This window comes from Homo sapiens, chromosome 12 (genome assembly GCF_000001405.40).
Source record: "Homo sapiens chromosome 12, GRCh38.p14 Primary Assembly".
In the NCBI taxonomy this organism is placed as follows: Eukaryota; Metazoa; Chordata; class Mammalia; order Primates; family Hominidae; genus Homo; species Homo sapiens.
The window spans coordinates 69231082-69255752 of record NC_000012.12 but is presented as its reverse complement, the minus strand read 5'-3'; the positions used below and the strand labels follow the sequence as shown (position 1 = coordinate 69255752).

General features: G+C 38.5%; 1 protein-coding gene across 5 annotated transcripts in view, besides 9 other annotated features; it reads right to left on the bottom strand.

The window, feature by feature from the left end:
• The window catches only part of CPSF6 (cleavage and polyadenylation specific factor 6), a 34790-nt gene extending 18606 nt beyond the window's left edge, over positions 1-16184 (bottom strand). For all 5 annotated transcript variants that reach the window (XM_005268588.4, NM_001300947.2, XM_005268590.4 and 2 more), the window contains exons 1-3: positions 16047-16184; positions 4415-4624; positions 2599-2702 (exon numbers count right to left, since the gene is read on the bottom strand). In XM_005268588.4, coding sequence (XP_005268645.1) covers positions 2599-2702; positions 4415-4624; positions 16047-16106 — 374 coding nt within the window. In that variant the 5' untranslated portion in view covers positions 16107-16184. The remainder of the gene's footprint in view (positions 1-2598; positions 2703-4414; positions 4625-16046) is intronic.
• Positions 1653-1702: an enhancer, noted in NCBI's record as "active region_6648". NCBI's record gives its function as "activates an Ori minimal core promoter by ATAC-STARR-seq in GM12878 lymphoblastoid cells {active_cell/tissue: GM12878}" and the evidence as "EXISTENCE:reporter gene assay evidence [ECO:0000049][PMID:35858748]".
• Positions 2778-2978: a silencer, noted in NCBI's record as "peak1783 fragment used in MPRA reporter construct". NCBI's record gives its function as "represses an SCP1 promoter by STARR-seq MPRAs in K562 erythroleukemia cells {active_cell/tissue: K562}" and the evidence as "EXISTENCE:reporter gene assay evidence [ECO:0000049][PMID:32103011]".
• Positions 9483-9982: an enhancer, noted in NCBI's record as "H3K4me1 hESC enhancer chr12:69639551-69640050 (GRCh37/hg19 assembly coordinates)". NCBI's record gives its function as "activates a minimal SCP1, AML or CMV promoter by ChIP-STARR-seq in naive H9 embryonic stem cells {active_cell/tissue: H9 hESC(naive)}" and the evidence as "EXISTENCE:reporter gene assay evidence [ECO:0000049][PMID:30033119]".
• Positions 11670-11964: an enhancer, noted in NCBI's record as "tiled region #12312; K562 Activating DNase matched - State 5:Enh". NCBI's record gives its function as "activates a minimal TATA promoter and a strong SV40 promoter by Sharpr-MPRA in K562 cells {active_cell/tissue: K562}" and the evidence as "EXISTENCE:reporter gene assay evidence [ECO:0000049][PMID:27701403]".
• Positions 14868-15447: an enhancer, noted in NCBI's record as "NANOG-H3K27ac hESC enhancer chr12:69634086-69634665 (GRCh37/hg19 assembly coordinates)". NCBI's record gives its function as "activates a minimal SCP1, AML or CMV promoter by ChIP-STARR-seq in naive H9 embryonic stem cells {active_cell/tissue: H9 hESC(naive)}" and the evidence as "EXISTENCE:reporter gene assay evidence [ECO:0000049][PMID:30033119]".
• Positions 15448-16028: an enhancer, noted in NCBI's record as "NANOG-H3K27ac hESC enhancer chr12:69633505-69634085 (GRCh37/hg19 assembly coordinates)". NCBI's record gives its function as "activates a minimal SCP1, AML or CMV promoter by ChIP-STARR-seq in primed H9 embryonic stem cells {active_cell/tissue: H9 hESC(primed)}" and the evidence as "EXISTENCE:reporter gene assay evidence [ECO:0000049][PMID:30033119]".
• Positions 15448-16361: a biological region, named in NCBI's record as "NANOG-H3K27ac hESC enhancer GRCh37_chr12:69633505-69634085".
• Positions 15492-15711: a silencer, noted in NCBI's record as "silent region_4652". NCBI's record gives its function as "represses an Ori minimal core promoter by ATAC-STARR-seq in GM12878 lymphoblastoid cells {active_cell/tissue: GM12878}" and the evidence as "EXISTENCE:reporter gene assay evidence [ECO:0000049][PMID:35858748]".
• Positions 15862-16361: a silencer, noted in NCBI's record as "silent region_4651". NCBI's record gives its function as "represses an Ori minimal core promoter by ATAC-STARR-seq in GM12878 lymphoblastoid cells {active_cell/tissue: GM12878}" and the evidence as "EXISTENCE:reporter gene assay evidence [ECO:0000049][PMID:35858748]".

Here is a 24671-nt window from a genome sequence, read left to right as displayed (position 1 = left end):
AGCCTGACCAACATGGTGAAACCCCGTCTCTACTAAAAATTCAAAAATTAGCCAGGCATGGTGGCGTGTGCCTGTAGTCCCACGCTGGGAGGCTGAGACAGGAGAATCGCTTGAACCTGGGAGGCAGAAGTTGCAATGAGCCAAGATTGCGCCACTGCACTCCAGCCTGGGTGACAGAGTGAGACTCTGTCTCAATAAATAAATAAATAAATAAATATGTGGAGAAACTGGAACCATTGCACATTGCTGATGAGCACGTATTAATAAAATGGCACAATGCCTCTGGCAAATAATCTGGTAATTCCTCAAACATTTAAACATAGAGTTACTATATTAACCCAGTAATTCCATTCCTAGGTACACATCCAACAGAACTGAAAATACATGTTCACACAAAATGGGTACACAAATATTCACAGGGGCATTTTCCTTAATAGCCAAAAGTGGAAATAACCTAGACGTCCATCGACTGATAGATTAAAAGAAAAAAGTGCTATATCCATGTAGTGGAATATTACTCAGCCATAAAAAGAAATGCTGATGCATGCTTCAACATGGATGAACCTTAAAATCATTATGCTAAGGAAAAAAGCCAGTCACATAGGACTACGTATTTTATGATTCCATTTAGATGAAATGTCCAGAACAGGCATATCCAGAGCACGTTAGCAGTTGCCAGCAGATAGGAAGAGAGGAAATGGGAGTGACTGCTAACCAGGTACAAGGTTCCTTCTTGGAGTGATGAAATGTTCTGGAATGAGACAGTGGTAATGGTTGCTAAACTTCATAAATATAATAAATTATCATTGAATTGTACATTTAAAAGCCTGCATTTTATGGCATATGAATTATACCTCAAAAAGAAAAACAAATTTAAAATAATCAGAATGATTACCAATTCGTATAGTTACAGGATATTCTAAATTATTTGAGGGAGGGAGGGTCTTAGTAGCTTAAGAAGCTTAAGCTCTTTTCCCCCTAATGTTCAATATGATCTTTTAAATTATCCTTCTTATTTTAGTCAACAAGTTCTGCTGTTTGCACCAGGATTATCTTGGGTCACAACATTTAGAAAAAACTAAATTAATTTAACAAATATTTATTAAGCACCACTTCTTATACGCAAGGTACCATTCTAGAGCTGGAGAAGTAATAGAGAACAAAACAAAATCTCTGTTCTCATTAAGCTTAAAGGCTTGGAAGAGGAGACAACAAACGAGTAAAATATATCAGAGCAGAAATAAAGGAAACAGGATAGGAAGGTGCTACTTTGCACAAGATGGTCATGGAAGAAAACTCTTAAACAGTTTGAGTCCTGAATGAAGTCAAAGAGTAAGCCATGTGGATATTTGAGGGGGAAAAGTAAACCAAGAAGAGAAAACAGCTAAAGGTCCTAGGTAGGAATTGGTCTGGCCAACAGCAAAGAGACTAATGTGGCTGAAAAAGAGTGGTAGGATAGGGTTAGAAAGGTGGTGGGAAAACAGACCAGAAAGTACCTTGTAGACAATGGTAAAGAATGAGACAGACAGGAAACCATGAGAAGATTGAGCAGAATGTCATTTTTTTTTTAGAACTTCTGTTATGTGGAGTACAGACTGTAGGGGGCAGTCTATACTTCCAGTTAGGAAGCTACTGCCAAAGTTTAAGTGAGAGATGATAGTGGCTTTGACCAAGTGGTATAAGTAAAGTTAGTGAGAAGTATTCAGACTCTGCATATATTTTGAAAATATTCTCAGTTTAGTATAAATTGGTATAATCTTCTAAGATAAGTAAGCAATATAAGAAATAAGAAAATTCTTTATCATTGTGCATCTAACAATTTATCCTTAAAAGAAAATCCAAAATCTGTACCAAAAGACTTATATAAAATGATGTCTGCTGCAACATTATTTACAATAGGCAAAAGTGGAAACCACCACGATAACCAAAAATAAGAAAGGTAAATTACAGTAGCATACCAGGTATGATGCAAAAGAATTAGACATTAGAGAGGATGTGTATTTATTTTTATTCCTTATATCAAACATATAAAACACATGAATTATAATTCCATTATTTATTTATTTATTTATTTTTAGGAAAAAGCCCAAAAGAATCTTCACTAAAATGTTAAAAGTAAACATCAATGAATGGTAGGACAGTGGTATTTTATTTTCTTACTTTTAGATATCTGTATTTATAATGTTCTCATGCTGAGGCTATCCCACTTGTATAGTTTAGTAGTGAAATAAAGCAAAATATCCATGTAACACATTATTCAGTTGCCCATCTTCTCCCATCTCTTAATCACAGGGAGAGTAATGGTTCTTAAACTGTCATTTCAACAACCATTTCAACCACAGATAGAGAAAACTTGGGAAAAATAGAAAATAAATCTGTCCACATTTCCACTCTACTGGTTTTAGTGTGTTAGGTAATAGGGTACGTAAAATGAAAAGTATCAATCTTTGCCCAAGAACCTCCTTCCAATGTAAACAATCATGTGTTGTTTGTATACATGTGTATACATGTGTAATTAACATTAACTTAAAGGAAAGTTAACTTGTAAAAACTGTATCACTAGCTACTAAATCAAAAAGAAAGAAAAAAAAAACTTACCCCTTTGACTGGCCATTTGCCCGATTTTCAAAAAATTTTATCTCCAAAATATCATTTACTCCCAAAGAATGAACTGCTTCAGTTAAGTCTTCATCTGTTGTCCACTGCAAGATATTTTCCCCCTCATTAACCATTAAAATAAAACCAAGATTTTTATTATCCCAGTCTAGTTTTTAAGGGGAAATTTGAGACATAAAAGAGAAAATAAATGCTGAGTGCAAATCTAAGTCTAGTTATGGCCAGTCAGACTCCAATTTTTAAACAGCACAAAAACCATCTGGGAACCTAACTTCATTCCCTGATAAGTATTTCAGAAACTAGAAGGTATATACCCTTGGGGTTACAATAAGATTTGACTCTCAAGAGTTTCTGGTCCCTTACAGCTTTAAACTGCTATGATTTTAAATTGTGAATAAAACCAATTTCACTTCCTCCCATTAAAGGAAAGTATTTTGAATTTCATCTTGTTTTTGAATTAAAATGCAGATAAGAAAAAACTAACATGTATTTAATATCTACCATATACTTTATGTATCAACTAACTCTTATAACAACCATATAAGCACTATTATTATACCCATTTTACACATGATACAATAGAAGTTAAAGAGCTTTAACTCTTTAACAAGGTCACAAAACTAATAATAGATGGTGGAGCTAAGATCCAAATACTTACTTAGCAACCATACTTTCATAACTACACTGCTACTGTCTCCAATTTTATAGAATACTCAGACTGGGTGGTGGGAGATCTGTTACATTTAGTTTTAAAAGAAATGTAAATAGGCTGGGCACCATAATCCTAGCACTTTGAGAGCTTGGTTAGGAGGATCACTTGAGGCCAGGAATTTGAGGCCAGCCTGAAGCAATATAGCAAGAAGTCAGCTCTACAAAAGTGTTTGTTTTGTTTTTAATTAGCCAGGCAGAGTGACACATGCCTGTGGTCCTAGCTACTTGGAGGCTGACACAGGAGAATCACTTCAGCCCAGGAGTTTGAGGCTTCAGTGAGCTATGATTACACCACTGCACTCCAGCCTGGGTGACAGAGTTTTGCAAATTCTGTCTCCCCCTGAAAAAAAGAAATGTAAATAAAACGTTTAAAAATACAGTGTTATTAAGGAAATGCAAGGGTGCCAAGTTTTATTGATTTTTGCATATACAAGTTTTTAACTTTCAAGTATACATATAACTAAGTAGAAATACAAACATTCTATAGGACTATTTTAATGATACTTAAGATGTAATATTAATAAAAAATAAATATACATATGTGCATTTAATGAAGCTCTAAATCAATAATCTTAGTCTCATGACAACCCAAATTAAAATATAATACGCACAGAAGTGCTTCTATAAATCAGATTTCAAATTTAAGGGCAGAAATAAAACTCAAATTTGTAACACAAATTAAATAATGGACACTATTTTTAAACCAGGAGTGATACTATGTCTCTTTCCTTTTACACTTGAATCCTGGTTTGAGACCCCATGTGAGCATTATTTTTAGTGAAACTGGGCTATCGGAAGCAAGGTAAAGTGGTAGCATAAAAAAGGTAACTGAAGACAAAACTAATTTAACTATATTTAACTAGTATCTCCACCAAGAAAAGTTGAATGACCACAAAACTCAAAACTAGAAGAATTCGAATTAACGATGTTGCAAAGATATTTGTATTTCCCTCCTCATTGGACAAGCAAACACATATAGAAAAACACAGTAACTTCAAACTTATAAAAATCTGGAGAAAAACATTAATTACTAGAGCAGTTCAAAATCAATTACCAATAATTTAATTCTTATATTAACTTCACTTACCCATGTTAGATTTCCAATATATAATGCAATTCTCTTTCCAGTATATGTATAGACAACATTTGGTGCTGCTCCTTTACCCACATCATCACCAACAGTTGGTGGGAGAGTATCCATGTAATCTCGGTCTTCTGGGGCATCTCCATTATTTGCAGATGGAGATATGACATCGTCATACAAATCTATCTGATCATGCCCACCATATTCAGCTTCCTGAGATACAGAAATAATGCTCTAGATTATACAAAAGTCAAAATACTACTAAAATAGACTTGAATACAAATTCAACTTTTTGTTTTAAAAATCTGATGGAAAAAGGCCAAGGATTTCAGTACAAATCTTTTTCCACTTTATGCAATAGATGTATTCTTGAACAGGTCTAAAAAGTGAATTTCTTGCCGGGAGTGGTGGCTCACACCTGTAATCCCAGCACTTGGGAGGCCGAGGCAGGTGGATCACTTGAGGTCAGGAGTTCGAGACCAGCCTAGCCAACATGATGAAGCCCTGTCTCTACTAAACATACAAAAATTAGCCAGGCATGGTGGCACACGCCTGTAATCCCAGTTACTCAGGAGGCTGAGGCAGGAGAATCGCTTGAACCTGGGAGGCGGAGGTTGTAGTGAGCCAAGATCGTGCCATTGCACTCCAGCCTGGGCGACAGAGCAAGACTTCATCTCAAAAAAAAACAAAAAAACAAAAAAAGGGGGTTTCCTTTATTTCTTTTCTTTTTTTTCTTTTTTTTTTTTTTTTTGTAGAGACCAGGTCTCGCTACATTGCCCACGCTAGTTTCGAACTCCTGAGTTCAAGCAATCCTCCTGCCTCGGCCTCCCAAATATAGGCTTGAGCCACTGCACCCAGCCTAAAGTTAATTTCTATATAACGAAACCTACTTTTCCACTGATATTTATTATAATATAAAAAATAAGTTCTTTTGGAAAAAGACATGGAAACAAAATAAGTAACATGAAACTTTCCTTGGAAATACTCTTAACTAGAAGTAATAACACACAAATGCAAATAGACAAGTTTTTTTTAAACTGACAGTAGAAAAATCACCCCAAAATCCAAAGCCATTATATCTTTAATATGACCACAGAAAAATAGTTATTATTTTCTATAGTATTCAGATCTTGTTTTCCAACCTTGAGGAAGCTACCAGTATTAAAAAAAAGCATAGTGAGCTGAGCCATAAAAGAAAGAAGAAATATGGGTATGTAAATAATTCAAAATGTCGTAATAAATGAACAAGGTAAAGAGAAATAAACGAAATACATGTAGAACAATCCAAATTAATTATCTTGCAAGTTGTATTATTCTCAGTGAACAAAGAGCTAATGCTTACCTGAATTCTTAGTTATCTAGTCAAGCAAATTAGCAAGAGAAAAGCAACAGACAACAAAAAGAGTATAGTAAAGCTTTGGCACTGTCACCAGCAGAATTAAAGCAATGCTACTGGGTGTCACTTACATGCCTAAATGATAATCAGGGAAAAGGAAAACTAAAATGAAACAGAAACAGGAGCAGGAAAAAAATAGAAGAGGGTTCAATTTGTAACTAAGTACATGAAAAATGAAATGTAGGTAAAAGCAGAACACTCAACACTATTTAATTGCCTTTGATAACCATTAAATAGACCATAAGCTTGACTAAGCCTGTAGCACAGGAAAATCTCCATTTTTATCTTCTACTCTCCCTTTCCACAACTAAGTACTTGTATTGGTGTGAACCATTTTATTCTTATGACATAGAACATCTGACATAAGGAAAAAGACAATTATAAGACAACCTGAAAGTTCAGACGTAACTTACAGATTCTCCCATTAATACAATTTACTAAAGAATTATACAAATGGCACATATGGAGGAGCTAATGGTTTTAGGGACTATTAGCCAAAATAGTCCCTAAATGGATAGAATGACCCAGAGAAAAGCATTTGTTATATGATGGTAAACAGAGCAACAAGATATTATGGGCCCAGGCTACTGTTTTGCTATTTAAAGGAGAGCCAGAATAAGATCTTTTATTTATTTTGTATTTTTTTAATTTTAATTTTTATTTATTTATTTTTTTGAGACGGAGTCTTGCTCTGTCGCCCAGGCTGGAGTGCAGTGGCGCAATCTCGGCTCACTGCAAGCTCCGCCTCCTGGGTTCACGCCATTCTCCTGCCTCAGCCCCCCCCCCCCCCCCCGAGTAGCTGGGACTACAGGCGCCCGCTACCTTGCCCAGCTAATTTCTTGTATTTTTTGTAGAGATGGGGTTTCACCGTGTTAGGCAGGATGGGTTAGCCAGGATGGTCTTGATCTCCTGACCTCGTGATCCGCCCGCCTCGGCCTCCCAAAGTGCTGGGATTACAGGTGTGAGCCACCACACCCGGCCGAGAATAAGATCTTTTTAAAAGAAAAAGAAAAAAGCCTAGTAGGGGAAATATCATTTATATTCCTAAATAAAGGGACCTCAAGTAATCATCAGGTAATCGTTTATGTAATTAATGACTTATCCAATTTACTAGTTACAGAATCTTTACATACCAATTTTACTTGTTACGAGGTAGAATGTCTATAAGACTTATTTAATAAGGGGTCTGGGATCTCAAGGTTAAATCAGAGAACAAAGCTAAATTTAACAAAGGGCAGAAACTAAGACCACAAGTCACTGAATAATGCCATAATTTTATTCTGTTTGTACAGCAATACTAAAATAATCTTTAAGAAATGAGTTTTTGTTAAACAAAGTAACATGCTCAAATTGCAATGACCACAGAAATTAGGAAAAAAGAGGGTAAGTTTTGTTATGAAGTTTCAGTGTGGCTGAAGCTTCAGGCGGTGTGGCTGCAGCAGTAGTTCCATGCACTTAAGATACTAAAAAGTTTCCCACAAGGGGTGTTGGGCACTTTAAACTCTCTTGCAATCCGGTTCTGAACATCAAGTAGAATTACTAATATTATTCAAAGGGAGTTGAGTTTCCATCCTCCTCAGCAGAAACTATAATCACAATATATGGTCTGAGGGAAAGTAAAAAAGAATGGAAGGGTTATTAACAGCAGGACTAAATGTATTTTTAAATTTACACTTTCACTTACATAAATAGGTGAACAGATTCTTTGTTTTCTTCTATTAGCTACAAACCTGTGAAAATGTTTACATAAGTAGACAAAAAATTTACAAGCATAATTGCAGCTACACTAACCTGGTATATCACAATCACTTACTATTTTTGTCCATCCATGAATTCCTATGTTGACACAAACCAATTTTCCACATTGATATGATTCTACCAATATTTAGGATCAGCCATTTTGTCTGGTAGTTGTACTGCTTCCAAGTGGTTGTAGTACGATCCTAATTAAGACCATGGTCCTGGGGTTTGATCTCCATGTGGACTAGTTAGCTTCTCTCTGTTCCAAGGCCACAGCCTGTACACTTAGCCCCAATGGTATACATTTAAACTTTGTGAAAAAACATAATGAATCTGAATACATTTGCTGCCATTACTAAAAATGAAACTCAAAGCACACTCTTTTGTAGTTATCAGTAACCTTCCTTTTAATCAGCTTCATATCACATCAATCCTCCAGCGTAAAAAAAAATACAGAACATACTGAACTTTGTTCTTACTTCATAAAGTGAGAAAATATGCATGATGTTTGCATGAGAAATTATGCAAAATGTATATCACAGGTCATATATAAATAAAGCTCTGTGAGCCTACTGAACAGACTAAAAAAAAGGTTTCCAGTTTGTCAAAGAAATATTTCACGGTATCATTTTTTATTACATGAAGGGTCTTTTCAATTATTACTTTTAATTTTAATGGCATTCAAAAAACAAGAAAATATCAACATCATTCCTCTAATTATCTTTGATACCAAATGTTGCCCAATCTTATCTGCTGTTCATAGTAGCTAGCCAGCTATGTTACATAAAGCTTGGAATAAACAACAGCTCTTAGGGTTTGTTTAAAAAAAAAAAAAACTCACTAATTTTTTTCATTCCCTACCATTCTAAATCACTACAATCATTCTTTAGACAAGGTATTCTCTCAACATTTTACACAACAAGATTATGCTCCACATGATATACAAATATCTGTTGCCAAGCCAGAGAAAATGGATGGCAAAATGACCAAAATCCTATTAGTTCCCTTAAAGTATGGCTTCTCAACCTTTTCATTATCCCTGTCTCCTCCCTCCCTTCAAGAAGTTACTTTTAGACATTTTTTCCCTAATTACCCCTCTTACAATTTTAATATCACAGATATACGATACATACTGTATACCACTATTGGGATGAACTTGTTGGCTGTCAAAATATTCATCATTCTCCCTGACAGGCCTGATATTTTTTTGATGGTTCTAAAATTACAGTAATATCATTCGAGGCTAGGCATGGTGGTTCATGCCTGTTAATCCCACCACTTTGGGAGGCCAAGGCAAGAGGATCCCTTGAGCCCAGGAGTCTAAGACCAGCCTGGGCAACTTAGGAAGATCCCATCTCTACCATAAAAATACATAAATACATACAAAATTCGTGCATTATATGATACTATCAGTAAATGCACAGCAAAGGCCACTTGTTTCAAAGCCTATTTTAAATTATTTCCATTTAGAGAAATATATGAAGGGGGGAAGTTACATTTTGCATTTACAAAATATATCCTATACCTCGGAAAAGAAATACTAGTATGCAAAATCCAATAGCAGATAACCTAATGCATACATTTTTAAAGAAAATATATCATTTTCTGGTTTTATCTAATTATGTTCTCAGTAGTTATTAAAACTGGCTAGTAATCCCTGTAAAAATCCCTTCCTTATATAATGGTAAGGAATTTGGTACTAAAAATATGCCACATAAACCATAGTGGACAATTCACAGGCAACTAAATTAACTGCACCCATAAATAACAAAATAGAGAAGAGTTCTAGCTTCCCTGAACATTTCTATCCATTTTTCTGAATCAATTCTACCTAGCTCATTCTCAACCTGACAGCTTTATTTCAGATGGTTTTCTAGTAAACATAAATAAATCATAAACAATGTTTCTCTGATATTTGTCCAAGAAATTTATTTTCATTAATTGGCTCAACAATTGGCTAGAATACATACATAATGACTGAACGTAAAGCAAAATGATTCATGACATAAAAACTGACTTATCGGATGTCCAGGTCCGTAACTCCTAAGTGAATTCTTTGTTCCAACTACTGCCTCTATACACCTCCATTCTTTTAAAAGTAATTAATCTATTTTTGTGTGTGACAAAGTCTCGTTCTGTCACTCAGGCTGGAGTACAGTGGCCTGATCTCAGCTCACTGCAGCCTCTGCCCCCCAGGTTCAAGCAATTCTCCTGCCTCAGCCTCTGAAGTAGCTGGAATTACAGGTGTGCACTATCATACCTGGCTAAATTTTGTATTTTTAGTAGAGACAGGGGTTTCGCCATGTTGGCCAGGCAGGTCTCAAACTCCTGACCTCAAGTGATCCGCCTACTTCAGCCTCCCAAACTGCTGGAATTATAGGCATGAGCCACCGCACCTGGCCTACACTTCCATTTTAAAGCTGGGTGGTCAGATTACTAAATTTGTGCTATCGGTGATGGCCTGACAGAGCAGAAACTAAATTCCACATTAAGAGTTTCTGACTCCCAAACAAGCAACAAAACATACTACTTCAATGCAAGCAGTGTAAGTTTCCCTAAAGTTCACAGAATTTTTTTGACTTTCCTCTCCAGATCAACAAAACTTTACACATAAAACATAAAAGAATGGTAACTACAATATAGGACCTGTCAGTGTGCTATAATTATAGTAGTCCCCTCTTATCTGAGAGGGATATGTTCCAAGACCCCCAGTGGATGCCTAAAGCCACGGAAAGCAAGGAACCCTAAATATACTATGTTTTTCTTTATATATACCTACGATAAAGTTTAATTTATAAAGTAGGCACTGTAAAAAATAACTAATAAAAGAGAACAATTTAGTCATGCATGACAATGTTTTGGTCCAGGTGGTCAGATTATAATGGAGCTGAAAAATTACTATTGTTTAGCGATCTTAGCCCAATGCATTCCTCACGTTTGGGCTCGTAATGCTGGTGTGAACAAACCTACTGTGCTCTCAGTCATATAAAAGAATAGCACATACAATTATGTACAGTACACAATACTTGACAATAAGCGACTGTGTTACTGGTTTATGTATTTATTATACTATACTTTTTTGTTTTTACACTTTTTTTTTTTTTTTTTTAAATAGAGACGGAGTTTCGACATGTTGGCCAAGCTGGTCTCGAACTCCTGGCCTCAAGCAATCTGCCGCCTCAGGCTCTCAAAGCACTGGGATTACAGGTGTGAACCACCACACCAAGGCCAACTATACCATACTTTTAATCATTATGTTAGAGTGTACTCTTCCTACTTCAAAAAGTTAACTGTAAAACAGCCTCAGGCAAGTCAGTCCTTCACCACGTATTACAGAAGAAGGCAGTTATCCTAGGAGATGACAGCCCATGCATCATACTGCCCCTGAAGACCTTTCCAGTGGGACAAGATGCAGAGATGGAAGACAGTGATATTGATAATCCTGACCCTGTGCAGGCCTAGGTTAATGTGTGTATATCTTAGTTTTTAAAAAAAGCTTAAAAAAAAAAAGACCAGGTTCAGTCGTTCATGCCTGTAATTCCAGCCTCCTTTGGGAGGCTGAGGCAAGAGGATCACATGAGGCCAGGAGTTTGAGACCTGTGCAACACAGTAAGACCTTGTCTCTTCTAAAATAAAATTAATTTTAAAAGTTAAAAAAAAAAATTTAATAGAAAAAAGTTTAGGCCCAGTGTGGTGACTCATGCCTGTAATCCCAGCGCTTTGGGAAGCCAAGGCAAGAGGATCACTTGAGGTCACGAGTTCGAGACCAGCCTGGCCAACATGTGAAACCTCGTCTCTTACTAAAAATACAATAATTAGGCAGGCATGGTGGTGAGTGCCTGTAATCCCAGCTGAGGCAGGAGAACTGCTTGAACCCAGGAGGCAGAGGTTGCGGTGAGCCAAGATCGCGCCACTGCACTTCAGCCTGGGTGACAAAGCGAGACTCCATCTCAAAACAAAACAAAACAAAAAAAAGAAGTAAGTTTACAGTATAAGGATATAAAGAAAATATTTTATATAGTTACACAATGTGTTTGTATTTTAAACTGTTATTATTGAAGAGTCCAAATTTATAAAGTAAAAACGGGCCAGTCACAGTGGCTCACGCCTGTAATCCCAACACTGGTAGGTCAAAGCAAGAAGACAGCTTGAGCCCAGGAGCTGGAGACTAGCTGGGACCTCATCCCTACAAAAAAAATTTGAAATTAGCCAGGCATGGTGGCACATGCCTGTAGTCTCAGCTGCTCTGGAGACTAAGACAGGAGGACTGCTTGAGCCTGGGAGATAAAGGCTGCAGTGAGCCACAACTGCACCACCGCACTCCAGACTGGATGACAGTGAGAAAATAATCAATCAAGTGAAAACATTACAGTAAGCTCATGTATTATTGAAGAAAAAAGTTTAAATAAATTTAGTGTAGCCTGAGTGTACTGTACAGTGTTTATGAAGTCTACAGCAGCATGTCCCAGATCTTCACATTCACCCACCACTCACTTGCTGACTCTCCCAGAGCAACTTCCAATCATGCAGGTTCCTTTCATGAGTGCCCTACACAAGTGTGCCACTTTTTATCTTTTATATCAAGATTTTCACTTACCTTTTCTGTTTAGATATATTAGATACACAAATACCACTGTGTTACAACTGCCTACAGTATTCAGTACAGTAATATGTTGTACAAGTTTGTAGCCTAGGAGCAACAGGCTACACCATATAGCCTACATGTGTAGTAGGCTGTACCTTCCAGGTTTGAAATGCAAAAGCACTCTATGATCACAAATGACAAAAGCACCTAAGATGGACTTCTCAGAACATACCGCCATCGTGAAGCGACACATGATTGTAGAACAGTTTACTGTCATAAAAGTTAGCTAAATATAGTATCTCTCAAACTACCTTATTGTATGTAATATTTTCAGACCTCAGAACCACGGGTAACTGAAACCACAGAAAGTGGAACTGTGGATACGTGTGCACTACTGTATGTAGGTATCTCTCAGCTCCCCTACAGTGTACTCTAAGGGTAGAGACTACCTAAACTTTGTATCCCTCGTTGTTGGCACATAACAGACACTCAACAAATGTATTTTGAACAATTCAATCTTTTTTTTTTGAGACAGGGTCTTGCTGGAGTGCAGTGGCCCGATCTTGGCTCACTGCAACCTCTGCCTCCCAGGTTCAAGCGATTCTCCTGCTTAGCTTACTGATTAGCTGGGATTACAGGCAGGCACCACCATACTCGGCCAATTTTTGTATTTTGATAGAGATGGGGTTTCACCATGTTGGCCAGGCTGGTCTGCAACTCCTGACCTCAAGCGATCTGCCCACCTTGGCCTCCCAAAGTGCTGGGATTACAGGCATGAGCCACCACACTCGCGCTAAACAATTCAACTTTTAAATTATTTAGTTTTGGCCAGAATTTTAAAATCTACAATTACTAAATATTGGGCTAGTAATTACTACACTTGAGTATAAATGCAGTTTAAACTGAATTGATATGCTACTGTGAGACAGAATCACTTTCTTCTCAACTTCAAGTAATAGAGAGGTTTGGAAGATGTTCAAATTCCCCTTCCAGCTGTTCTCAGCTTGGTGACATCCAAAGACCTCTAAGAACTAAAGAGAACCCATAAGGAGTAGCCAGTCCCTTGTGCCTCCTCCCCCCTTCATTCTCCATTCTTAAGTTCACCTGGTGAAGAAAGGCACTCTATTAGAGCTTCACTAATTTATTATTCTCAATCTATCCCCAAATTAGTTTCTGCTAAGACTGTTGAATGCCTCACTTTTTTCTACTTCAATAGATGCAAATCACTTTTTGAAATAATACTGTGCCTTACCAAAATACAAAAAAGCTTCATAAAAGTATGACATTTAAAATAGAAGACTCAGCAGGATACAGACAAAAAATAGTAGAAAATGGAAATAAAGACTATCCCGAATTTCAAAGTATACAAATCCAATGAGAACTGCAGTTTACACTGGAAAACAAAGATTTTTTTTTTAATGTTTACAACAGCTTTGAAGCCAAAGTAAGTCAAAACTGGCTACTATTTAGTATTTTACTCAACGACAATAAAACAAGAGTTCTAGTCTACTATAGCAACTAGTAGAAATAAGGTCGCCAGCTAGTAAAGATTAAATCAGTTGTAAATTATTTTGTGGTTGCCTCTAATTCTGGTAAGATTTTGGAAAAATATTTCAATGACAGTAACATATTTTTAAAAACAAGATAAGCTCTGAAAATAACCAACTATCCTTTTGTGACCTTTTTTTTTTTTTTGGTACAGAAACTACCACAGCAAGAAGCGGTAATGTAAAAGGATATACAAATCAATCAATCATTGATTGGCCAATGATATGCAAAGTAGCAAAAACAATGCCTCTATTTATCCTCGCCATTAATCTATTCAAACATATAAAGATTTTACTGGTAAAATTATACAACTGTGTTAGACGTAATGCAGTAGGTACCTTATACAAATCATTGAAAACTTACATTTAAAAGGAGTTCCTCATTGGGTCCACAAAACTAATCTCTTTTTACCTCCTGCCCAGTCAGCACTTGCTACTGCACAGGGATAAGAATCCACCCAGCTATCCGGATAAGGGAGATGTCCCTCTCAAATTAAGTATGCAAAAGCCTAAAAATATTTCATTAAGAGGTACTGAAAAAAGCTTAACTTCTAAAATTGAGACCCAATTCTTCTTTTATTGTGCATAGAAAGGTGAACCAATGTATTATCTTGTAAGTAAAGCTAATAAAGGCAGTCTTGAACACTCAATCGTTGTTCCTTGCAGTTACAGCCCTCTTTTAAACGCAGTTATATTCATTTGATAAATAAAAGGAAAAAAATTTCCTAGAGGTCTTATAAGCGTTAGAACCTGTGTTGCACTCGAGGAATGTATCTGATTTGTAATGGACACAACTCAAGTATTATTATTTAAAACATAAGCACAATTTTAAAAACACAAAGATTTAAAAACTTAACCTTTGATTACAATGTATTACATTTAAACAAATCCAGTCTTTAACTGAATAGCAAACATTTAAAGCCAACTGGTATTTTTCTGTTTTCTAATATTTAAACCAGAGGCACAAAGTCATTCCTGAAAAATAAAACAGTAAAGATCTCTTGAGTTTCCTTGTTTTTTAAAAAGCCTGAGCAACTAGTCACGAATATGATGGTTAATGGAGGTGGGAAAACCACATTAGCCAGTAATATTTCATTAAACTTCTCATAGGGACCTGGGAAATACAAAAAAATAAGGCTTTTAGGAACATTGCAGTTAAGCACAATTTAATTGTTTTAAATGTGTTACTACATAAAATGCAGTAGATACGAACAGCAGGTTCAAACCTTAAACGTCACTAGCAACAAACGACATCTTTTGCAAGGATGCCCATTAACAGACATCACAGCCCCGCGTTACCTCTAAGCAACGTCGTTCAGGAAAACCTTGCATTCTCACTTTCGCTCAACCTTTCAAAAGGTAACACGGGGCCCGGGGGTGGGGGTGGGGGGATTTAACACTTTGTTTTCGAAAATAGGGTCTTATCTATAACTCTTTATTTTTAAACCACATCATAAGGATTTGGGGTGAACGTTCTTTCATTTTAATCACTATGAGATCTGTGGGTGAGCTAACATCTTTTTGTTCCATCCAACCATCGCGCTTCCAATTCTTCCTTTTGGTCCCCGGCCACTCATCTTCACAGGTATTTTCATCACAAAGGCCAACAACGACTGGGCTTCAAAGCACTGCAAGCCCTGGATTAATGAGGCAGGACCAGCGCACCGACTTTTATCTGTGGCTCCAAAAGTCAAAGGACTTGTTGCAAATGAGCCCGCACCTCAGTCGCCTTCAGAAAGTGTGAGGGGAGGAGGAAGGCGCCACGCCGAAACCTGTCGCAAACCCGAGAAGGAGAGCCCCGGGGACTGGGCGCGCGGGATACAAAGGGCCGTGAACGCGGCCTTCCATGAGGCGACAGTGCGCGGGCAGGGAGACAAAATGGAGCGATGGGAGGAATCGGAGCCCGAGCGGCAGCGGCGGGGAAGGGGCGGCGGCGGCGGGCACGCGCCCCGCCAGGGCTTCCTCCTCCGACCAGCGACGGGGGAGGGGGCGCGGCGGCGGCCAGTTCTCTCCGCCGCTTACACGCGGCCCCACCGCCCGGGCCTAGCGCGGCGGGAAGCGCCAGCCGGGTGCCGCCAACAATAGGGAGCGAGGCAGCGCCGGCGAGGGAGGAGCCGGCGGCAGCTGCACAGCGGCCCGCGTCCGCGCTCCGGGCCCCGCGGCGACTCGCCGCGCCCGCGGCCCGTGAAACGACGCGGTAGAACGAGGGGCGGGGGGGCGCCACGCCAGGGGTCGGCGGCGCGGCCCAGAGGCGGCAAGGGCGCACACTCTGCAGTCGCTTCGGCTCGCGGCCGCAGCGGGCCCCGGGTCAGCTTCCCGGCCGCAGCGCCGCCCGCGTCGGCGGCGGGGACCTGGGCTCTCACGTACCTGGTTGAACTCTTCGCCGACATCCGCGTAAATGTCTATGTGGTCCACGCCGTCCGCCATCTTCCTTCAGCCTCGGCCGCCGCCGCCGCCGCCGCCTCCTGCAGGTCTGCCCGCCGCGGCAGCAGCAGCGGATCTAGCGGCGGTGGGGGGGCGCTTGCGTCACTTCCGAGGCCCGAGGGAGGGAGGCGCGGGCGACAGGGGCCGGCCGGGGGCGGGGACTCTGCAGCCCAGCCGCTCTGCTGGCTGAGGAAAGGCTGCGCCTCTGAGGGCAGAGGACGTTTCTTTTGTGTCTGGGTGAGGCCCGGGAGTGGGGGCCAATTTTTTTGTCCTACTCGCGCATCCAGCTTAGCAGTGGGTCCCACCTGTTTCCACACACCGTCTTTTCACGTGGCCTCTGGCATACTCAGACGTTTTGTTAATATTTTCATTTATCCGTTGTTCTTATCTTTCTCACATCCAGGACTTTTAAAGGTGGAAGTTATATGTCCGTGCTTAAATGCAAAGTGTAACCCCCGGGCATTCTGTGAACGGCTTAAGACCAAAAACAATGTCTTGTTTCTGCATCCTCAGAGACCAGCAGAGTTTTATTTGCATCGTAAACGCTAGATACCCGTCAGTGGTTATCTTTGCATGCTGTTTATGTTGCCATTTCCATCTCTAATCTTCGTGGGCTTCTTTCCCCCCCACCTTCCTCTCGCATTCATTGCCATTCATTTTTTCTTCCTTAGATCTACAGTAGGTTGTCTCTGGCGTAGTTCAGATGCTTCTAACATGAATGCAGTCATCTTAGAGCACACCCAAGAGAGTGGAGGTATCTTGAGGCCAGGGGGGCTTCTCTCTCAGAATCCTAGAATGTCCCAACGGGAAGGGAACTGGAAAGGTGTCCTTAGGTCTAAACATCTCATTTTACAGAAGAGAAGACTGAGGCCTAATAGAACCTAAGTGATTTAACCAGGTCACATGGTCAATAAAGGTAGGAACATTCAGCCACGATACTTTACTCAAAGATGTCTCTCCAGTTTGAAACTTTCCCCTCCATTCTTAATTTCTTTTTCACTCATTAAAAAATATACTGTAGTAGAGCGTGTTTCCTGAGAAACTGGCCAGAAATCATTCATAGAATAACCCAAACAACATCTGTAAGGTTGGGCATCTCTAATCCAAAAATTTGAAATGCTCCAAAATCTGAAACTTTTTGCGCACTGACATGATGCCACAAGTGGAAAATTCCACACCTGATCTTATTTGCCAGGTCGCAGTCAAAAATGCAATCAAAACTTTTTTTCATGCACAAAATAACTAAAAGTATTGTATGAAATAATCTTCAGGCTGTGTGTATAAGGTATATGTGAAACATAAATGAATTTCGTTTAGGCTTGGGTCCCATCTCCTGGATAATTTATGTATATGCAAATATTCCAAAATCCCCTCAAATCCAAGCATTTTTGCATAAAAAAGACTCAATCTGCACTTGGTATGGTGGAAAAAGCATGGTTGCAGTCCTGGAGGCCAGTCTGGTGATCTGGGTACCCATTTCTAATCAGACATTTTATCAGCTAGATGACCTCAGTCAAGTTTTCAACTCTCATATTCAATCTCAGAATCTTTAAAATCCAAGCAATAATATCTACCTCACCAAGGTTGAAGGTTGGTGATACTTTAAATGAGTTAATATGAGTTAATATGCAAAGTGTCCTGTCCTGTTCCAAGAATCAGTATTTAAATACTGATTCACTTTCTTTCTTGGGGCATTATAGAAGAAAAGAGACACTGACGTTTAAAGGTGAGAGTATTTTCTAGATTGGTGGTGTGGTAGAATAATGGCCCACCATAGATGTTCATATTCTGATCCCTGAAATCTGTGAATATGTTACCCTTGCAGATATGATTAAGTTAAGGATCTTGAGGTAGGGATAGGGATACCTTGATTGTCCGGTAGGCTCAAAGTAATTTGCAAGGGTCTTTAGAAGTGAAAGAGGGAAGCAATAGAATCAGAGAAGATGCAAGGATTTCTATTGCAGTTTATCTTCTTTCAATACAATTAAAAACCATTCCAGCCAGCATGGTGGCTCATGCCTGTAATCTCAGAACTTTGGGATGCCGAGGAGGGAAAATTGCTTGAGCCCAGGAGTTTGAGACCAGCCTGGGCAACATAGGGATACCTTGTCTCTACAAAAAAATTAAAAAATTAGCCAGGCATAATGGCGTGCACATGTAGTCCCAGCTACTCAAGAGGCTGAGGTGGGAGGATCACTTGAGACTGGGAGGTTGAGGCTGCAGTGAGCCATAATTGCACCACTGCACTCCAGCCTGGGTGACAGAGTGAGACCCTGACCCTCCAAAAAAAAAAAAAAAATTATTTCAAGGCTCTGACTTCTATCGTTGTCTGTAAAAAGTCAGCTGTCAATTGACTATTGCCTCTTTGAAGTTAATTGGTCCTTTTTTTTCTGGTTGCTAAGATTTTTCTTAGATTTTAGTTCTCTGTTTTCTTACCATGTGTGCTTGGAAGTGTATTTCTTGTTATTTGTGATGCTTGGGATTCACTGAACCTCTTGAATATATAGATTAATGTGTTTCATGAGTTCTGGAAAATTCTCAACCATTACCTCTTCAAATATTGTTTCTGCCTCCACTCTCTTCTCTCCTTCCCTGACTCCAATTAAATATATGTGGCCGGGCACAGTGGCTCATGCCTATAATCTCAGCACTTTGGGAGGCTGAGGCAGGTGGATTGCCTGAGGTCAGGAGTTCAAGACCAGCCTGACCAACCTGGTGAAACCCCATCTCTACTAAAAATACAAAATTAGCCGGGCATGGTGGCGCGTGCTTGTAATCCCAGCTACTTAGGAGGCTGAAGCAGGAGAATCGCTTGAACCTGAGAGGCAGAGGTTGCAATGAGCCAAGATCGCACCATTGCACTCCAGCCTGCGCAATAAGAGCAAAGCTCCGTCTCAAAAAAAAAAATATATATATATATGCTATATATATTTTAATATATAATATATATGCTATATATTTTTAAATATATAATATATATGCTATATATATGAAATATATATTATATATGCTATATATATTAATATATTATATATGCTATATCTATTTTAATATATAATATATATGCTATATCTATTTTAATATATAATATATATGCTATATATTTTAATATATAATATATATGCTATATATATTTTAATATATATATGCTATATATATTTTAATATATATGCTATATATATTTTAATATATAATATATATGCTATATATATTTTAATATATAATATATATGCTATATATATTTTAATATATAATATATATGCTATATATATTTTAATATATAATATATATGCTATATATATTTTAATATATAATATATATGCTACATATATTTTAATATATAATATATATGCTACATATATTTTAATATATAATATATATGCTACATATATTTTAATATATAATATATATGCTATATATATTTTAATATATAATATATATGCTATATATATTTTAATATATAATATATATGCTATATATATTTTAGTATCAAATGTACCTATACATATGTATGTGTGTGTATTTTAGATCTTTTTATTCTATCCACTATTTCTCTTACCCTCTTTTTAAAAGTTTTCCATCCTTTCCTTTCTCCATGCTTCATTGTAGGTAGCTTTTTTTCTGATATATTTTCTAGTTTACTAATTCTCCCTCCTATGGTGTTAATCTCATCTACTGAGACATTAATTTTGTGTTTTTTGTAATTTTAGATTCTAGAATTTCTACTTGATTCTTTTAAAAATCTCTTAGGTTCGTTTTTATGGCATCTAATTATTTCCCAAAATTGTCAGTTTTGGCTTTTATCTCTTTGAATATAGTAGGCATCATTGGTTTACAATCTGGGGTCTTTGATAATTCCCATATCTGGAATTCCATTGGGATTGTTATGTGTTATATATTCTGGCTGTGGCCCACTTCCAGCAATTAAAATAATGTAAACTCAAATATTTAAGATGAGCAGGAAAGAGGTTGGAAAGCAGTAATGTTCTAAGGTTCTCTGTATGTCTGCTTTTTCTCTGTACAGAAGAGCTTTCTCTCCTTTTCCATGTGCATGGCAATGCAACAATGCAACCTCAATGCAAGTTCCAGGGTTCAAACAACCACCATTTAAGCAAATATTCAGCAGTCTTAGTTTCAATTACAAAATCTAAGGAATGCCAAAGTAAGGTTTTCTGTGCTGGAAGAAAAAATCTAAGGAAAAAGGAACTGTTTAACCCAATTTTTATGAGATTCTACTCCCATGCCAATCAAGGTTTTTAAAGGGAATGGAGTCCAGAGTAAAAACATGGCTGACAAATCCTACCCTGTAAGTCAGGAAATGGTGGAGAATTCTCAGTGAAAGATGGTAGCTTTGAGCTAGACAGACATCTCAAAGAATGTCTGACATATTCTACTTATTAGACGACCATATATAAAGTCATCATGGTTAGGGAAGACAAATGCAAATCCATAAATATTTTACACTTGCTATCATTCCAGTTTACGCCAATAAGTCAATGCCATAATATCCACAGGGACATGATTTGCATTCCAATATGCTACAGGCCATAGTTTAGCCCAGTGGTCCCAAACTTTAAAAAATACTCACTTCTAGTCAGGCACAGTGGTTTGCACCTGTTGTCTCAGCTGCTCTGGAGGCTGAGACAGGAGGATCTCTTGAACCCAGGAGTTTGAGGCTGTAGTGAGCTATGATTACACAATTGCACTCCAGCCTGGGTGACAAAGTGAGACCTCTTCTCTAAAAACAGAAAAGAAAATTAAAAATAAAATTTAATTGGCCAGGTGCAGTGGCTCACGCCTGTAATCCCAGCACTTTGGGAGGCTGAGGCAGGCGGATCACGAGGTCAGGAGTTCGAGACAAGCCCAACCAACATGGTAAAACCCCATCTCTACTAAAAGTACAAAAATTAGCCAGGCATGGTGGCATGCGTCTATAATCCCAGCTGCTCCGGAGGCTGAGGCAGGAGAATCACTTGAACCTGGGAGGCAGAGGTTACAGTGAGCTGAGATCGTGCCACAGCACTCCAGCTTGGGTGACAGAGCAAGACTCCATCTCAAAAAAAAAAAAAGAAAAAATTTAATTAAAATACCTGTATCAGTATAACATTTGAAAACATGCAGCCATAATACATGTAAATTTAAACATTATTTTATTAAAACTTATGTTGACACTATGAACACAAACATACAATTTTAAACCATGAAATGAGTTTTTTAATATCTTGCCATGCATAAAGGCCTTATATTATTATTAGTGGATTTAATCCATATTTCAAAGTCTTCATTTTGATTTTTTAACATTTTAACATTTTTAATTTTTGTGTGTACATAGTAGGTGTATATATTTATGGGGTACATGAGATGTTTTGATGTAGACATGCAATATGTGAAATAATCACATCATGGAGAGAATGGATATCCATTCCTTCAAGCGTTCATGCTGTGTGTTAAAAAAATCTGATTACATTCTTTTAGCTATTTATAAATATACAATTATTATTGACTATATAGTCACCCTAGTCAAATAGTAGGTCTTATTCATTCTTTCTATGTTTTTGTACCCATTAACTTATCCACTTTTGACCCCCAAACTCTCATTACCCTTCCCAGCCTCTGGTTACCATCCTTCTATTCTGTATGTCCATGAGTTCAATTGTTTTGATTTTTAGATCCCATAAATAAATGAGCACATGCAATGTTTGTCTTTCATTCTGTACCTGGGTTATTTCACCTAACATAATGATCTCCAGTTCCATGCATATTGTTGCAAATGACAGGATCTCATTTTTTTTTTTTGTAGCTGAATAGTACTTCATTGTATATATGTATTACATTTTCTTCATCCATTCATCTATTGATGGACACTTAGGTTGCTTCTAAATTTTAGCTATTGTAAATAGTGCTGTAACAAAAATAGGAGTGCAGATATCTCTTTGATAAACTAATTTCCTTTCTTTTGGGTATATACCCAGCAATGGGATTGTTGGATCATATGATAGCTCAATTTTTAGTTTTCAGAGGAACCTCCAAACTGTTGACCATAGTGGTTTTACTAATTTATATTCCTACCAACAGTGTACAAGTGTCCCCTTTCTCTACATCCTTGCCAACATGTTATCTCCCGTCTGAGATAAAAGCCATTTTAACAGGGGTGAGATGATGTCTCATTGTAGTTTTGATTTGCATTTTTCTGATGATCAGTGATGTTGAGCAATTTTTCATATACCTGTTTGTCATTTGTATGTCTTGAGAAATGTCTAGTCAGACTTTTTGCCCATTTTTAAATCAGATTATTAGATTTTTTCTTTGGTTATTTGAGCTCCTTATATATTCTGTTTATTAATCCTTGGATAATAAAGATGGGTAGTTTGCAAATATTTTCTCCCATTCTGTGTGTTGTTATATAAGTCCATTCTCATACTGCTATAAAGAACTACCTGAGACTGGGTAATTTGTGAAAAAAAAGAGGTTTAATTGACTCACAGTTCCACAGGCTGTACAGGAGGCATTGCTGGGGAGGCCTCAGGAAACTTACAGTCATGGCAGAAAGGCGAAGGGAAAGCAAGCAGGTCTTCACATGGTGGCAGGAGAGAGCAAGTGAGGGGGAAGTGCCACATTTTTAAACAACCAGATCTTATGAGAACTCACTCACTATCATGAGAACATCAAGGGGGAAATCTGCCCCAGCAATGATTCAGTCACCTCCCATTAGGTCCTTCCCCCAACATTGGGGTTTACAATTCAGCATGAGATTTGGGTAAGGACACAGTCACAAACCATATTATTCCACCCCTGGCCCCTCCCAAATCTCATGTCTTTCTCATATTTCACAACCAATCATGCCTTCCCAATAGTACCCCAGAGTCTTAACTCATTCAAGCATTAACTCAAAATTCAAGTCCAAAGTCTTGTCTGACACAAGGCAACTCCCTTCCACCTATGAGCCTGTAAAATAAAAATAAGTTAATTACTTCCAAGATACAAAGGTGGTACAGGCATTGGGTAAATGCTCCAATTCCAAGAAGGAGAGATTGGCCAAAACAAAGGGGCCCCATGCAAGTCCAAAACCCAGCAGGGCAGTCATTAAATATTAAAGCTCAAAAATAATCTTGTTTGATTTCATGTTTCACATCCAGGTCACACTGATGCAAGGGGTGCCCAAGGCCTTGGGCAGCTCTGCCCCTGTGGCTGCTTTCATGGGCTGGTGTTGAGTGTCTACAGCTTTTCCAGGTGTATGGTGCAAGCTGTTGGTGGATCTACCTTTCTGGGGACTGGAGGACAGTAGCCCTCTTCTCACAGCTCCACTAGGCAGTGCCCAGTGGGGACTCTGTTTAGGGGCTCCAACCCCACATTTCTCCTCTGCACTGCCCTTGTAGAGGTTCTCCATGAGGGCTCTGCCCCTCCAGCAGACTTCTATCTGGACATCCAGGCATTTCCGTACATCCTCTGAAATCTAGGCAGAGGCTCCCAAACCTCAGCTCTTGGCATCTGCATACCCACAAGCCCAACACCACATGGAAGCTGCCAAGGCTTGGGGCTTGCACCATGTGAAGCAATGGCCTGAGCTGTATCTTGACCCCTTTTAGCCATGGCTGGAGATAGAGCAGCTGGGACACAGGATGCCATGTCCTGAGGCTGCACAGAGCCGTGGGGCCCTGGGCCTGGCCTGCAAAACCATTTTTCCCTCCTAGGCCTTCAGACCTGTGAAGGGAGGGACTGCTGTGAAGGTCTCTGAAATGCCCTGGAAACATGTTCCCCATTGTCTTGACTATTAAAATTTGGCTTCTCTTTACTTATACAGATTTCTGCAGCCTTGAATTCCTCTCCAGAAAATGTTGTTGTTGTTGTTGTTTTTCTTAGCACATGGTCAGGCTGCAAGTTTTTCAAACTTTTATGCTCTACTTCCCTTTTAAATATAAGTTCTAATTTCAGACCATTTCTTTGTGAACACATATGAGCATATGCTGTTAGAAGCAGCCAGGTGGAAACTTGAATGCTTTGTTGCTTAGAAGTTTCTTCCACCACATACCCTAAATTATCTCTCTCAAGCTCAAAGTTCAACAGATCCCTAGGGCAAGGGCACAATGCCATCCATCTCTTTGCTAAAGCACAGCAAAAGCAACTTTTACTCCAGTTCCTAATAAGTTATTCATGTCCATCTGAGACATCCTCAGACTGAACTTCACTGTCCATATCACTATCAGTATTTTGGTCGCAGCCATTCAGCAAGTCTCTAGGAAGTTCAAAACTTTCCCTCATCTTCCTGTCTTCTGAGCCCTACAAACTATTCCAACCTCTGCCCATTACCCAGTTCCAACGTTGCTCCCACATTTTCAGGTATCTTTATAGCAATGCCCCACTTATCTGGTACAAATTTTCCATATTAGTCTGTTCTCACACTGTTAAAAAGAACTACCTGGTACTGGGTAATTTATGAAGAAAAGAGGTTTAATTGACTCACAGTTCTTCAGGCTTTGCAGGAGGCATGGCTTGGAAAGCCTCAGGAAACTTACTATCACGGCAGAAAGGCAAAGGGGAAGCAAACGTGTCTTCACATGGTGGCAAGAG